The sequence below is a fragment of the Homo sapiens genome, chromosome 6, assembly GCF_000001405.40.
Source record: "Homo sapiens chromosome 6, GRCh38.p14 Primary Assembly".
In the NCBI taxonomy this organism is placed as follows: domain Eukaryota; kingdom Metazoa; phylum Chordata; class Mammalia; order Primates; family Hominidae; genus Homo; species Homo sapiens.
In genome coordinates, this window is record NC_000006.12 from 66851515 (window position 1) to 66869362 (window position 17848).

Sequence of the window (17848 nt, forward strand, 5' to 3'; positions counted from 1 at the left end):
CCCTAACGATTAGTGATACTGGGCACCTTTTCATATTTCTGTTAGCCATTTGTATGTCTTCTGTGAAAAAATGTTGATTCGGGTCCATTGACCATTCTTTTACTTGGGTTGCAGTCTTGCATTGCTTAATGACATGAATATATACTGAGAAATGCATCGTTAGGCAATTTCACCTTTGTGCAAAAATCATAAAGCGTACTTATAGAAACCTAGATGTTATAGCCTAGTAAACTCCTATTACTCTTGGCTGCAAACCTGTATCGTATATTACTGTATTGAATACTATAGGCAATTTTAATACAAAGGTATGTATGTGTGTATCTAAATATACCTAAACATAGAAGAGGTACAGTAAAAATATGGTGTTATAATTTTATGGGACCACCACCATACATGCTATTCATCATTTTACTGAAATGTCATTATGCAGTGCATGACTGTATTTGTTTTTTTACAATTAATTTTATGAGTTACTCATATATTTTTTAAATTAAACCCTTTTTAGATATGTGGTTTGCATTATCTTTTCTCAATTTCTAAACTGCCTTTTCAAGTGGTGGATTGAACATTTTAGCTTGATGTCCCACTGACACTTTGCTTATGTTGGCTGTGTTTTTGGTTTCATATCCACGGAACTATTGCCAAGATCCACATCAGGGAGTTCTTCCCTGTTTTCTTTCAGGAGTGTTATGATGTAAGATTTTATATTTTGTTATTTAATCCACTTTGAGTTGATTCGTGTGTATGGTGTAAAACAAAGGTCCAACTTTAGGCTTCTGTATGCGGCTATCCAGTTTTTGTATCAAAATTTATTGAAGAAAACACAAAATCCTTTAACCATTTTGTCATTTTCATGGCCTCATAAAATTATTGGCTGTATACACTGAGTTTATTTTGGAGCTCTTTATTCTGTTCCATTGGTCTATGTGTCTGCTTTTTATGTGAGTATCATACTATTTTGACTACTATATTTTTGTATAATTTGAAATAAGAAAGTGTAATGCCTCCAGCTTTTTTGTTGTGTTTTTCTTTTCCGTTAAGAGTGCTTTGGCTCTTCACAGTATTTTGTGGTTCTGAATGAATTTTAGGATTGTCTTTCTATTTCTGTGAAAAATGCCATTGAGATTTTGAAAGCAATTGCATGGAATCTGAAGATCACTTTAGGTAGTCTCCTAATTCACAAATCCAGGATATCTCTCAATTTATTGTGTCTGATTCAATTTTATTCATTGAAGTTTTTAAATTCTCAGTATATAGATTTTTCACTTGCTTGGCTAAAGATGCTATCATAAATGGGATTTTTTAAGTTCCTTTTTTTGGGGTAGATTATTATTAACATAAAAATACAACTTATATTTGCATGTTGATTTTGTATCCTGCTATTTTACTTAATTCAGTGATTAGTTCTGACAGTTTCTTGTGGAGTCTTTAGGGACATGTGATACATAGGATTATAGCACCTACAACAAGGATAATTATTTCTTTCCTTATAATTTGGATTGCTTCTATTTCCTTTTCTTGTCTGAATGCTTTTGCTGGTACTTCTAGTACTATGTTTAATGGTACTTCTAGTACTATGAGGAGATGGGTATCCTGGCCTCATACCAGATCTTATGTAAAAGGATTTGAGTTCTGCTCCATTGTTTATGATATTAGTTGTAGGCTTTTTATAAATGGTTTTTATTAAGTTGAGAAAATTTATTTCTATACACATTTAATTAAATGTGTTTATAATTAACAAATGTCAAATTTTGTCATTTTTTTTCTGCAGCTATTGAATGATTGTGTGATTTTTATCTTTTTATTCTGTTAATGGGCTATATCATGTCAATTGAATTTGCCTATTTTTAACAACTTGGCACTTCAAGATCAATCCCTGTTTGTAATTTTGTATAATCTTTTTTATGTGACATTAAATTTGGTTGGCTAATATTTTTTTAGGGCTTCTGCATCTATGCTCATAAGAGATATTGTTCTGATGCTTTCTCTTCTTATATTTGTGTTTGTCTGACCTGGTATCAAGGCGATGCTGGAGATATTACCTTTACTTCTATTTTTTTAAAGAGTTCATAAAAGATTGGTAATCATTCTTTGAATATTTGATAGAATTCAGCTGTGTAGCTGTGTGGTCCTGAGTTTTTTTTTTCACTGGGTGACTTTTGATTATTATTTCAAGTCTTTGTTGTTTTTGGTCTATTGAGCCTTTCTATTTGTTGATTCAGTCTTGATAAGTTGCATGTTTCTAAGAATTTCTTCTAGTTTATCTACTTTATTTACATATAATTGTTTATAATCACTTATGATCTTTTTCAGTTTCTGAGTCATTATTTGTAACGTCTCCTCTTTTATTTCTGATTTTATTTGAATCTTTTCTCTTTTTTCTTTGACAAACTAGCTAAGAGTTTGTTGATTTTGTTTATTAAAAAAAACTTTGGTATTTTTTATTTTTTTCTGTAGTTCTTCTATTCTCTATTTCATTTATTTTTACTGTGATCTGTTATTCCCTTCTTTCTACTAACTTTGCTTTAGTTTGTTTTTTGTCTAGTTTTGTGAAGTGTAAAGTTAGATGGTTTATTTGAGATATTTCTGCTTTTTAATTTAGGAATTTATTGCTATAAACTTCCCTCATGACTGCTTTTACTATATCTGTTATGATTAAGTGTCAGCTTGCTGTCAACTTCATGGGTGTCAACTTGATTGAATTGAGGCATGCCTAAATGGCTGGTAAAATCTTGTTTCTGGGTATGTTTGTGAGGAGGAGATTGACATTTGAGTATTATTTCTGTGTCTGTTTGCCACAGGAAATTGACATTTGAGTCAGTGGACTGGGAGAGGAAGACCCAACCTCAGTCTGATTGGGCACCATCCAATAGGCTGCCAGTATATCTAGAACAAGGCAGACAAATAAGGTGGGACAACTTTGCTTGCTGAGTTTCTGGTTCCCTTTCTTCTTTCCATGCCAGATCCTTGCTTCTGCTCCTCTTGCCCTTGGACATCAGATTCCAGGTTCTTGGGCCTTTGGACACTGGAACTTGCTCCAGCGGTTTCTTGGGGACTCTCAGGCATTCAGCCTCAGGCTGGCAGCTGAGTTTTCAGCTTTCCTGGTTTTGAGGCTTTTGGACTTGGAATAAGCCCCTGCTGGCTTCTCACTTTCCCCAGCTTGCTCGCAGCCTATCACCTTATAATCCTGTGAGCCAATTCTCCCTAATAAACTCCCTTTCATATACACTTATATCCCATTGGTTTTGTTCTTCTGGAGAACCCTGGCTAGTACAACATCCCATAAGTTTGTTCAATTCTATTTTAGTTTGCCTCATGATAGTTTTTAAATTCCCATTTGACCTGTGCTGTACCCAGTGATTGCTCAAGAGTATGTTGTTTCATTTCCATGTTTTTGTGAGTTTTCTCATTTTCTTACTATTACCAATTTTTGGTTTTATTCCATTGTGGTCAAAGAAGATTCTTGGTACAATTTTGCTCTTAAATATGTTAAGTCCTATTTTGTAATCTTTTATGTGACCTATACTGAAGAATATTTTGTATGTACTTGAGAAGAATGTAGATATTTTTGCTATTGTGTGAAACGTTATATATATATATATATGCCTGTTCTGATATTTAGTGTATATATACACATATGTTATATCTTCCTATTGAATTGATCCTTTTATCATAATGTAATCATCTTTTTTGTTTCTAAAGACTGTTTTTGACTTGAAGTCTATTTTGTCTGACATAAGTATAGCCACTACTTTTATTTTTCTAATTTTCCCACCCATCTGCACACTGACCTTCTCCTTTCTTTTGGTTACCACTTGAATAAAGTATCTTTTTTCATCTCTTACTCTCAACCAGGATGTACCCTTGAATCTAAACTGAGTTTGTTATAGACAACATATAGGTGGATCTTGTTTACTATTCATTAAGACAATTTATATCTTTTGATTTGGGAGTTTGCTTCGTTTACACTTAAAGTGATTCTTGAATAAGAAAGAATTTACCTTTGGCATTTTTGTTAACTGTTTTCTGTTTGTCTTGTGGTTCTTTTGTCTCTCTTTTTCTATCTTGCTTTCTTTCTTCCTATTTTATTTTTAGATATGTATATATATATATATATTGCAATGGTTTCATACCTATATTTTTCCTTTGTATAATGGCTACAGTTATTTTTGTGTTTGCCAAGGAACCTACGTAGAAAATCTTATAGTTGTAACAGTATATTTTAAGTTGGTAACAACTTAAATTTCTTGTATCCAAGAAATCTATAATTTTAAGTTTCGTCTCTCCACTTTATTTGCTATTGTTGTCACAACTATTTACATTTTGCTTCTATTAACATAATGTAGTTATACTTGCTTTTAATACTTTTATTTTTTAACTTCTTAGTGGGATTATAATTAATTAACTTACTACTATTATAGTAATAAAATATTCTTTTTTTGCCTATATTTTTACCTTCGCCAATGAGTGTCGAAATTTCTTATGTTTCTGTGGTGGTGTTTAGAAACCTTTTATGTCAACTTAAAGAACCTCTTTTAGCATGTTTTCTAAGGCAGGCATAAATATTATGAACTCCCCCAGCTTTCATTTGTCTAAAAGGTTTATTTTTTGAAGGACAGGTTTGCTAATTATAGGATTATTCATTTGAAATCTTTTATTTCAACATTTTGAATATATCATTCTACTTCTTTCTGTTCTTCAAAGTTTCTCCTAAAAAATGTACTGATAATTTCATGAAGATTCCCTTCTTTTTGCTCCTCAGGTTGACTGACTTCTAATTACCTGTTTTTTAGTTTGTTGGTCTTTTTTTCCAATTTATCTAATCTGCATCTGATTCACTCTATTGAATGTGTTAGTGTAAGTATTGTATTCTTTAGCTCTATGATTTCTGTTTGGTACATTTTTATATTTTCTTTTTTTGTTGTTAAAATTATCAGTTTGTTCATGCACTGCTTTCCTGGTCTCAGTGAACATCTGTATGAAAATTCCTTTGAATTTTCTATTGGGTAAATCTCATATCTTTACTTAATAGAGGTTGTGTTTTGGAGATTTATCTTGTTATTTTAATTGGAACATTATGGCTTCATTTTTTTTTAACTGTTTGTTATGGTTTCTGCTCATTGGATAAGCCAATCCCCCTTTCCCAGTCTTGTCAGTCTGTCTTCCTGTAGAAGGAGAACTTCACCAATTTTGTCCAACTAGAAGTTCTAGATACCTCTCAAACCTTTGTGCTTGTCCAAACCATTGCCTCTGTCCTTAAGGGTCCCCAAGATATTAAGGTGTGCCAAGTTCTGTCAGTACCCCCGAAACAGGTGAGATAAAACTCAGCTCCTCAAGATGTAGCTGTAAAAGTTAGCATGTTAGGTATGTCTTTTAATTCTTTGGATCTTTAAGGAAAAGCTGAGTTAGAGTTTTCTCTACAGTAGGCTCTCCAGTAAGCATGGGAGAAAATCTGCAACATATGCTTGCACTCTCACTCAGACCCCACACTCTGACACTGGAGGATGGCAGCTGTAAGTGAACCCATTTTTAAGCCACCTCCTTATCTCTGTGATTTAGAGAGACTTGGGAATCGAGAACCACTTCAACTCCCAGAGCTAGGTCATTTAGAAACCAGTATCTCTGGTGGCAGTTTTAAAAGTTGGGGCACTCAATGAATGCACACCCTCCTTCCTGGGAAAATATAAAGACCTGAATTTATCACTGGAGTTAGCTGGGGAATAAAGAAAAGAAAGTGCCCACTTTTCCATTCAGACTCTCAGAGGCCCACTGTTTATTTGCCCCATTGTCTCTCTGCTTCTAGCTCCTTAGAAGCCTACACTCGGGCAGCATCTGGAAAAATACGCAGAAGATTCCCTTCCAGGGAAAAACTGGTAGCTGGGGATTTTAGCCTGTTCTCTTTGCAGTGATCCTGAGGGTTATAGCTGCTGGAAGTGCTTGTGTACTTATTAAAAACCATATTTTTGTTCACATTAGATTAGGGAGACTTGGAAATGCAGAGTCTGTTTTGTCCCAAATGCAACGTAATTTAATATTCAAACCTTCTGGGCAAGAAAGTGAAGATACAGAAGTTGGGGTGCTATATGCATGACCCAATCCCTTCATTCCTCAAGGAGAAACTAGGAGATGGTAATTCCTTTCTGATCATAAGGTGCTGTGCCAGGGAGGGGTCTGTGAGCCAATGTGTCTTATCTTTTCCTATCCATTTCTACGTGTCCATTTTCACAGTTGCCTGACATGTAGGCATTTCTCAACTAGTTCTAGCTTTTTCTCAGAGGGAATTGATTCATGTGTGAAATGTTTATTCTGTAACTTTGTGGGAGGTGGGAAAGTCAGGAGCCTCATATTCCACTGTCTTCCTGATGTCATCCGTCTAGATTTATTTTTATTTAACAAAGCTACTTTTAATTTTTATCATCTTTTATTTGTACACACAAATATGTACACAACAAAACATGTTTTGTTTGGGAGGTTTTGCCAGTGCCAATGGCAGAATCACACAGTTATAAGTTTAAAAAATATTCTAGTTAAAATAGACATCAAATAGTGTCTGACATAATCTTTTCCATTTTAGACGAGAAAACTCGTAAATCAGGAGAGTGAGATAGCTTGACCAGAATTACAAAACAAGAAACTTGAAAGACTGGGTTTAGAATTTTGTAAGCCTGGCTCTTTGTCAACTACAAATTTGCTTACAAACTCTTTGGCTTATATTTGGTATCCAAATTTTGCCAGCGACAACTTTTACTGCACTTTGCCTGTAGGTTCCAAAATATATTATTTTCCCGTTTATAAAAGTGTAGTATCATTTACATGTTTCTAAATTCTGGCCCTTAACCTGTTGTTTGTAACACTTCATAGATGATAGCCAACAATGATTGCACAATCACACTTTAAATTATTTATCACATCACATTTTTAATCCTCAGTATCTAGAGATTTCAATTGATTTAATGTTTTTCTTCACTTGTCACAGAGAAGAGGTTTCACAGCTATACATCTCAAACACTTTTCAGTTTGCAAATTGTTCTCATTGATAGAGAAAAAGCAAATATATTATATTTAGTAGTTCTTTTTGTTTCTTTAAGATTTGCCTAAAATGTTGAGTATATCCATATTCATAAATGTTCTTGCTCTTTTTGATGTATTTTACTAGTGCCAATTTATTTTTGTAGTATACACACTGGGACTATGATATTTTCATTCTATACACGTATTTGTCCATAGTTAAGTATCCCTTCTTTACCTATTATGAAATACATTAATCCTTATTGGAAAATTATCTGAGCTGCTACATCACTTGTTTTTATAGTGCTCCTTTTTCTTCTACTTATCATTTATTAAATTTACAGAATTTTATTATTAAAATGTCTCAATCAGATCCTTTGCTAGGTGCTTGTCTAAGCATTTTATATATTTTAATTCATTCAAGCTTCTTAACAAAGCCTTGGATATGCACAATTATTATCCTTCTGTTACAGATAATGCAAAAGTTTATATCATTCATAAGTGGCATGTCCAGAATTGGGTGGTTTTTGTCAGTGTCCTATATTGTCTTCAATCTCTTAAAATTTTCTAAGTTGTTATATTATATTACCACAGAATTATTTCATTATCTTCTTAAATATTAAAATCTGCTTTTCTGCAGAGAAGAATGTACTTCCAACTATACTCATGAAGTTGATACATTTTTTCCCTACATTTCTCATCACTATTTCTCTGTAGGCAGGATGGTCTTTTTGTCAAAATTAAGTAAAAATTGAAGTTTCCTTGTTATGTTCCCAATCTTCTGGAAGATGACCCTGTCAGCCAGTCAAGGAAAGAATTTATTAAATGGTTTTTATTAGACGCACAGTGGAAGAAAATGATCTTTTTCTAAAACTTCATCTAAATACACTCCATCATGATTTCACTAGCATTTCATTGATTTAAAACCAAATCAAGACCATTTTGAAAATTTAATCTTTAGAAATAAAAGTCATATATTTGAAGGTAAAAACTTCCAGTTATTGCTGGAGTTGTAGCAGCTTAGATAGGCAGTCAATCTTACACCGAAAACATGACTATCCTGATGAAGGTTTGATTGGGCTGAGTTTGTGACTGGTTGGAGTTAGAAAGCAGGGAGGTTAGAGAAGAACAGACCTCCCAACCCAGGGAAACAGAAAGTGTCTAATGCAAATAATTTTTTTAAAAATTTAATTGGAAAGTATTTATACTGCTTCCTTTAGTTTTATCAAAGTTTACTGACTCTGAGTTATCCAACTCATAGTAAAAGATTTACAGGGGTAACTTGGGCTGGGCGCAGTGGCTCATGCCTGTATTCCTAGAACTTTGGGAGGCTGAGGCAGTTGGATCACTTGAGGTCAGGAGTGTGAGACCAGTCTGGCCAACATGGTGAAACCCCGTTTCTACTAAAAATGCAGAAATTAAGGACTGGGGGTGGTGCATGCCTGTAATTGCAGCTACTCGGGAGGCTGAGGCAGAAGAATCATTTGAACTCAGGAGGCAGAGGTTGCAGTGAGCCGAGACTGTGCCACTGCACACCAGCCTGGGCAACAGAGCAAGATTCCATCTCAAAAATACAAAATAAAAAAATAAAGAATTTGCAGGGATATCTCAAACCTAACTGTGGAGATATCTGAATATTTGTCCAGCATCAGGACTTTTCTACATATGAGATAATATGTTTAGTTTGACAAAATGTGTATAAACTAAGTACACCTGACAGATGTTATTGTCACTTTCCATCCTAAACCTAAATTGTGGTCTTTAGTAAATTTCATGTAATATTTTAAAAGAAAAACTGACAATCTGGAATGTAACTCCAAGAAGGCAATGAATGTAACTGAGATTTTTGATATCTTGTAAATGAGGAACAAATGGTAATTTCACCATGAATAAAATGTAGCTTACGGGAACATGATAGATTCCATAAAGTATTTAGAGAACTTCCATAAAGAGTGGATAGAAGATTTGTGCTGTACGCTGTTAAAGTACACATTTAGAACTGTGAATTGGACGAACATAAGAAAGAGTGTGTAGGAATGCCTGGCAGCAATAATGAGTGGCCTGCCAAAGATTTGAAAATAAGGGAAATCAGGATTTTTTTTTAGATTAAATATAAAGCTAACACATATGGGACCATTGCAGATATGTAAGTTTGTCTTAATGAGACAAAATATTTCTCAAGATAGAACCAATTTTGACTGCAAACTAGTTACCTTTATTATTACATTAAAGAAAGTATCAGAAAGAGAAAGATAGCAATAGAAATCTGAAGAGAATATTAATCTTAAAATACCTCTTGGACTATTATAATTTCAATTGAAATAATTCTAACTTATGTTTAAGAAAAAAATCAATGAAAACATTTTTTTTTTCAGCTTTTATCTGGGAAGACTAGATGTGGGCTTGGATTTGGAAGATATTGAATCCCTGGACCTCAAGAATGCTAGTTAGGTTCTTTATCCATTTATAAGCTCTATTTGTCTATGGTGGCCTTGATACTAAATGCAAACTTGATCAGTACTGTGAACATGATGAATGTCAGCAGCTATATTCTCCAAGCTTAAAAACATCAGAAGAAAGTTAAGGGTTTTTTTTTTCTCAGATATCAATGCTATAATGAAATCTGAGTGAAAGTTTGTGGATCTCACCCAACCCTTGGACCAAGCGCAGAGAAACAAGATAATGGCACTAGGACTGTACACAACATGAATTCCAAGGAAACAAATGTAATGCTGTAAGGCACTTAAAACAACAGAATAATTTGATCAGATCTTGATTTTTTTTATACTTGGCATGCATACACGAACAGGAAACTTTCATTTAAAAAAATAGAAAACAACAGACCAAAATAATTGAATTAACATAAAGTGGCTTTTGTATTTTAAAAAATCAAAACAAAAAGAAACATTTTGTACTATGAAGGAATTCATAATTAGGCCAGTGAGTTAGAGGATAGCCAACAAAAATGGATTAGAGCTGATTAAATCATCTTGCTAGTCCTAAAAGGAAGAAGAAGGAGGAGGAGAAATAAAGAAAAAAACAAGGAGGAGGAGAAGTAAGAGAAAATGTGTTTAACATATTTTTTTGCATTACTATGGATAAAAAATCAAATAATGATTTTTTTCCAGTTGTAAAGAACCCTCACAGTCAGTAATTTAAACATTTCCAATATGTTTGGCATCATAGCAACAATAGAAGTTTGCACATGTATGCCATTGGAAAGGGGGAGGTGAATTCTTCACAAATCAAATCCCATTGAATGCAACCTCTCTCATATTTTTGTCAAACTTAAAGGTTCCGTTTTAAAGTGCATTTTCAAAATTGTCTATAGGACCACATCAAGGCCTGCTAAATAAAACCAATACATTAAGGGGAAAATAAAGAATGTTAAGTACATAAAACATTTAAAAACAAGCAGTCAAATATTTTGGGTATTTATTGCTTTAACCTTTATTGAGGTATAATTGATATACAAAATCGTACATGTTTAGTGTCTAAATTTTGATGAATTTCAATATATGTATAAACTCATGACACGAATACTACAATCAAGATTCTAAACATATCCATCATCTCCAAAAATTTCCTTGAGTTATGTTGTCCTTTGGTGGGGTTTTTCTTTGTTTTTGTTTTTGGTAAAATCACTTAACATGAGATCTATCCTCTTAATAAGTTTTAAAGTGAACAATACCATTTTGTTAACTGCAGATAACTATGTTGTACATCGATCCCTAGAGCTTATTCATTTTGCACCATTGAAACTGTATAACAAATGAGGAACAATCTCCTATTTTCTCCCATCTCAAGCCCCTGGCAAGCTCCATTGTATTCTCTGCTTCAATGAGTTTGGCTATTCCAGATACTTTATATTTGTGGAATCATGAAATCCTTTTATAACTGGCTTATTTCGCTTAGCATAATGTTTTGGTCCATTCATGTTGTCACAAACAGTAAGATTTTCTTCCTTTTTTAAGGCTGAATAATATTTGAAACACATTTACTTTATCTATTTGTCTATTGATAGACATGTAGATTATTTCCTTATCTTGGTAATTATGAATGATGCCTCCATGAAAATTGGGGTGCAGATGTCTCTTCCAAAACCTTATTTAAATTATTTTGGATATATTTCCTGAAGTGGGATTGCTTCATCATGTAGCAATTCTATTTTTAATGCAATTACTATTAAAGGATCCTGCATACTGTTTTCCATGGTGCCTGAAGCATTCTACATTTCCATCAACTCTGCTTTTGTTTTCTTCCTCCCCATAGTTGCCAACACTTGTAGTTACTTATTTTTATCATAGCCATCCTAACAAGTGTGAGGTGATATCTCATCGTTGTTTTGATCTGCATTTCCTAATTAGTTGTAGTATTGAGCACCTTTCATATACCTGGCAACTGTTTGTATGTCTTCTTTGAAGAAATGCCTATTCAAGTCCTTTGCTCATTTTTTAATTAGGTTGTTTATTCTGCTTTGAGACATAGGAGATTCTTACACTCTTTGGATATTAACCCCTTGTTAAATAGATGGTTTGCAAATATGTGTTCTTTAAATATGTTGCCTTTTCACAGAGACAGAATCTTACTTGTCACCCAGGTTGGAGTGCAGTAGTGTTATCATGGCTCACTTCAGCCTGGAACTCCTGGGCTCAAGCAATCCTCCTGCCTCAACTTCTGAGCAGCTGAGATTACAGGCATGCGCTCCACACCCAACTAGTGTTGACCTTTTTTCTTTGCCTTAAAGAAGCTTTTCTGCAAAATTTGATGTTGTCTCACTTGTCTATTTTTGTGTTTGTTGCATGTACATTTTTTGTCAAATGCAGCAAATCATTGCTTACACCAATTTCAGGAAGTTTTTCTTCTGTTTTCCTAGAGTTTTATACTTTCAGATCTTAAATTTAAGTATTTAGTCCACTTTGAGTGGATTTTTGTGTCTGACATAATGATCCAATTTTACTCTATTGAACGTTTATATCATTTTCCCAGCACAACTTATTACAGAAACTATCTTCTCCCCATTGTATTTTCTTAACATCTCTGTTGAAGATAAGTTGACCATATGAACAGATGAATAATGAGAAAGGATATAGAATTGGTAATCAAAAACCTTCCAACAAGGATAATCCAGTATCAGATGCCTTCAGTGGTTAATTCTATCAACGATTTAAAACTAAATTCATGGCACCACTTCTGAAACTCTTCTAAAAAGTTGAAATGGAGGGAACATTTCCCAGCTAATTTTATGAGGCTATCATTACCCTGATACAAAAGTCAGATAAAGCCACCATAAGAAATGGAAACCACAGGCCAATATTCCTGTTGAACATAGATGCAGAAATCTCCAACAAAATACAAGCAATCCAAATTTAGCTACACATTAGAAAGCTTTTCTTTTTTTTTTTTCTTATTATACTTTAAGTTTTAGGGTACATGTGCACATTGTGCAGGTTAGTTACATATGTATACATGTGCCATGCTGGTGCACTGCACCCACTAACTCGTCATCTAGCATTAGGTATATCTCCCAATGCTATCCCTCCCCCCTCCCCCCACCCCACAACAGTCCCCAGAGTGTGATATTCCCCTTCCTGTGTCCATGTGATCTCATTGTTCAATTCCCACCTATGAGTGAGAATATGCGGTGTTTGGTTTTTTGTTCTTGCGATAGTTTACTGAGAATGATGTTTTCCAATTTCATCCATGTCCCTACAAAGGACATGAACTCATCATTTTTTATGGCTGCATAGTATTCCATGGTGTATATGTGCCACATTTTCTTAATCCAGTCTATCATTGTTGGACATTTGGGTTGGTTCCAAGTCTTTGCTATTGTGAATAATGCCGCAATAAACATACGTGTGCATGTGTCTTTATAGAAAGCTTTTCTTCTAAGATTATGAACAAGAGAAGGATGCCTTCTGTTGCCACTTCTATTCAACATAGTACTGAAAGCGCTAGTCAGGGCAATTAGGCAAGGAAAATAAATAAAAGAACTCCAAATTGAAAAGAAAGAAATAAAATTGCTCTTTTTTCAGTTGACGGAATCTTATATATAAAAATCCCTAAAGACACCACAAAAAACTTATTAGAACTAATAAACAAGTTCAGCAAATTGACAGTAAACAAAATCAACATACACAATTTAGTTGCTTTTGTATACATGAATAATGAACTATCCAAAAATGGAAATAAGGAAACAATTCCGTTTACCATAGCATCAAAAATAATAATGTGCTTGGGAATAAACATAACCCAGAAAATGAAAGATCTGTACACCGAAAACTATAAAACATTGATGACAGAATTTTTTTTTTTGAGATGGAGTCTCGCTCTGGATGACGGAAATTTTAAAGACACAAATAAATGGGAAGCTATCATGTGATAATGGATTGGAAGATTTCATATTTTTAATATGTCTGTATGACTTAAAGCAGTATACAGATTCAATATAATACTTATCAAAATTCCAAGGGCATTTTTAGCAAAAATAGAAGAGAAAATCTAAAATTTATATGGAACCACAAAAGATTCTGAATTGCTGAAGTAACCTTGAGAAAGAAGAACAAAGCTGGAAGTATTACACTGCCTGATTTCAAAATATATAGCAAAGCTATGGTACTTAAAACCCTATGGTACTGGCATGACAAACATGCAGATGAATGAAACAGAATGGGGATGTCATTAACATTTTGACTCTTACAGGGGGAACATACTGTGGGAGAGAAGTGAAAGAATATTAAATTTGGGAAATAGAATATTAAAAATTCCCATTCTGTGGGAACAAGAAAGAGAATGCAAATAGGGGCTTACTATTGTATTTCTTATACGAAGTGAATAAAACAATTGATTTTTATGAATAAAACATGTTATATTTATAGAAAGATTGTTTAAATTTAGATATATGACTCAGAATAATAATATAATTCTTAGAATACGTAGAATGAGTTGTTGAAACTAACCTTTGGTGTGGAACAATAATAGGCTTTCTGTTAAATTTTTTATATATACATATGTATAATACACACACACATACACACACACACACACATATATATATACACACACACATATGTAATCTTGGAATATCAAGTTCAGCAATAACTACATTGAAATTTTTGGAAATTTTATCTTATTTTATTTTTGATGAAATGAGAAACAAACTGTGAAAAATAACCCTGTAGGACTAACTCCATCAAAAGAACATTTAAGATGTTACTGTTTAAGAAGGCAGAACCATACAGTACTACCAGTGAGTTGAACAGTCTTTTTAATAAAATTATCTATATTTTATCACTATCAGAGTTTCAGAACTCTAGAGTACCAGAGAAAGCTAATACTCAGAGAGACAAATTTGACCTTTACCTCTCAGTCATTAAATACTAGGAAATGATACAGCTTAGTGCTCCTTAAATATTTGCAAAATGACATGCCCTGTGAATACAGACAACAGCAGCTCACACTTTTTGAGGTTTCCTTGGATCATTGTTAAGGGCTGAATCATTTAAAAAACAAATATAAGAACACAGATTTGCTACTTATGTACAGTCACACATATTAAATTAAGAAGAAGGCATTAGCTATTATTATATAAAGTTAATATTTTAATAATAAAATTGTGGTTAGTTAATAGTAAAATGTATATGTATTACTACTGTTATAGAATGGCCTAGCAAAGTGAGCAAAAACTTGATAAATATGAGATTAAATACCTTAAGACCTAAATTATGTGTGTGTGTATGTGCATGCACATGTGTGTGTCTCCTTTATCATTTATATTCATAACACTTGTTTATTGGAATTGACTGCTTAGTTTTCCAAATTAATCATAATAAAGTTAATATTTAACATTTGCCTTCCATGAACATTTTGTTAGGCTTAGATCCTCATTTTTTCATACCACTCTGTCTATCCCTATTTGCTGTTTTAATTTAGTTCAAGATTATAGAAGAAAGGAAACATAAATTATTAATACTATGTGCCAAAATCCTGTACTTAAGCAACAAACATGGTTCTAGGGGAAAAACAAGTAATTGACTAACTGACCTTTTGAGTCGTAAGTTTAAATTGTGAAGTTTCTTGTGTTACAAGTGATCTTTACAACCTAATTTACATAACACTTGTAAATTATTCCAGATCTGGTTAGTAAATGTGGTATATATTGAATTCAATCTAATATAGAATTAGTTATATATTTTGAATCAACATATCATGTTACCAATATACTTAATACCAAAAAGTGGTGTGTGTGTTTATTTTTTGTGTTTGAACCATATGAAAGGATACATATTGTCATCTTCTACATGAATATACTTACCACATTTTGTGTCCACCCTGTCCACTATTCAGTGAGGAAAACCTGATCTGGGAATAAGAAGCACAATTTTCTTTATATACTAGCAAACATAATAAATAAAGCCCTGATGTCCAGACCTTAATGGATTCAAACTTCTTTCATTTGCTGAGTCATTTAGTATTTATTTAACCCCAAGTAGGTGATGTGCATATTGGGTGACTCAATGATCAGATTGGTAACAAGGTAAAAACCCATCTTCAAGGCTCTTTTGATTAAATATGGGAGGCAAACTGGTAACAATACAGATTCTGATTAATTATATTGAAATAAAGATCACACGTAATATTTCTAAATGGGAGTGATGAGGACTGAATGCTTTAGAAGAGTAGAAATCTGTCATTGATAAATTTTATTGTGTAGTTTTAAGAATTAAGATTGTTAATTCCACTCAGAAAATAATATAAGTAAAATAAAATAAGAGTACAAACATCCCACATTAAAAAACTGTAGTATTTTGTGCTTTCTTGAATAGACAATATATTTTTCAATGTAATAGTTCCATAAATAACTATAATAAGAATTTTCTTGTCAGATTGTTCAGGCCTTGTGACTGAAGCCAGACATAAAACTATATTTTCTCATGTGGGTTTTATATTTAATTTAAATCAATGTATACTCACTGACCAAAGTTATCAGACCATAAGCTTAGTTGCCACAAATAAGTGTCTAAGATCATGTTAATGTTATACATATTACATAAGACAGATCTGTAGCAAAATATATCTAGCATTTGAAGTGACTAGATATGGAAGCTAAAATATATCTGATAAGATTCATATTTTTATCCTTTTAAAAATGCAACAATTTTCTGGGTCTAAAGTATGAACAGCAAAGGGAAATTAACATGAATCTTGTGCATTCAGTTACCAGATCAGATATGTTCTAATACAATCAGATATTGTTTTCCATCTTTGTTAGAAACAAATAAGAGAACATTCTGGTGATAATTGAAAATGTAAAATCCTTTATACGATTTGACACTTTGCTCTAGAAAGAGGAAAATTATTAATAAATGGCATGAGTGGGGTTATCATGTTTTTATTATCAATAAAATTTAATATTTAAGTTAATCTTTGCAGGAGTCATTCCCTTAATAAAATACAATTATTAAGAAAATCTACATGAATAGAAGGTATTAGAGAAAGATAGATTAAGACAAACACCTAAATATAACATGTTTCAAGTATGAGACAGGTCCCATTTTCACAATGAGAAGACTTTACAAAAGAGCTTTTTGTCTGGCTTGATAAAAGAATCCTTTAGAGAATTAAACTTTTATAGCAATAGTTAAGCATAATAGATATTACACATAAACATTTAAAATTACATGTAAATTAATATGTTTAGAGGTATTTTTAATACCAAGATTCAAGAACATAAGTTTCTTTTTTATTTTCAGGCCCATTGCAAGCACAGAAGAATCATTGTGTTTCTCATCAGCATAGCCAGTTTTGAACCTTCTAACCTTTATTTTTCCAAAATGAGTCATTTTGTATTCACCTATTCCGTCTGTGACATATCATTAGAATTCCTTAGAGATGTTGTCTCTGAAAATTTCACTCCAACTGACATGCAGCAATACATAATACTGGAATAGTTTTAAAAATTATTATTTGTGCTGGAAATATGTATTTCTGACTGAAAACATTTAACAACTGCTGGATTTCTTCATCTATGAAAGGCTTTTTAAAGGCTAAATAATATTCTATTGTACACACATATGCAAACATGCACGCAGAAACACACACACATAAAATCTTTTTTTATTCATTCATCCATTGACAGACACTTAAAATATTTCTACTCAATGTATATGTCATCTTTTCTTTACCTATTCATCCAACAACACTTGAGTTGTTTCCATATCTTAGCTATTGTGAATGATGCTGCAATGAATATGGGTGTGCAAACATTTCCTCTGCATATTGATTTCAATTCTGTTGGATATGTACCCAGAAGTGGGATTGCTGGATCTTAACTTAGCCCTATTTTTTAGTTTTTTAAGGAAATTCCATATCATTTTTCATAATGCCTGTAGCAATTTATAATTCTACCAACAGTGTACAAGGTGTCTTTTTTTTCGACATTGTCAATAGTTATCATTTTACTTTCTGACAATAGCCAGCCTACCAAGTATGAAGTTATAGCTCATATAGTTTTGATTTGCATTTCCCTCATGATTAGTGATGCTGAGCACCTTTTCACATACCCATTAGACATTTGCAGTGTTTGGAGAAATATGTGTTCAAGTCTTTTGCCCACGTTCTAATCAGGTTACTTGTTTTTGTTTTTGTTGTTATTGAGTTGTGTATTTTGAATATTAATGTACATTGGATATACGGTGTGCAATTTATTTTCTCCTATTCTATGGGGTGGCTTTTCACTTTGTTGATGGTTTCCTTTGCTCTGCAGAAACTTTTTAGTTTCATGTTGTCCCACTTGTTTATTTTTGCTTTTGTTGACTGTGCTTTTGGAATTATGTCT

The 17848-nt window shown here is 32.8% G+C and overlaps 1 long non-coding RNA gene across 1 annotated transcript in view; it reads left to right on the top strand.

Annotated features, from left to right (window-relative positions):
* Positions 1-745: 745 nt before the first annotated feature.
* Positions 746-17848, top strand: part of LOC107986540 (uncharacterized) — a 37452-nt gene continuing 20349 nt past the window's right edge. Inside the window, exons 1-2 of the long non-coding RNA XR_001743881.1 lie at positions 746-941; positions 2802-2909. This is a non-coding gene — a long non-coding RNA (uncharacterized LOC107986540). The remainder of the gene's footprint in view (positions 942-2801; positions 2910-17848) is intronic.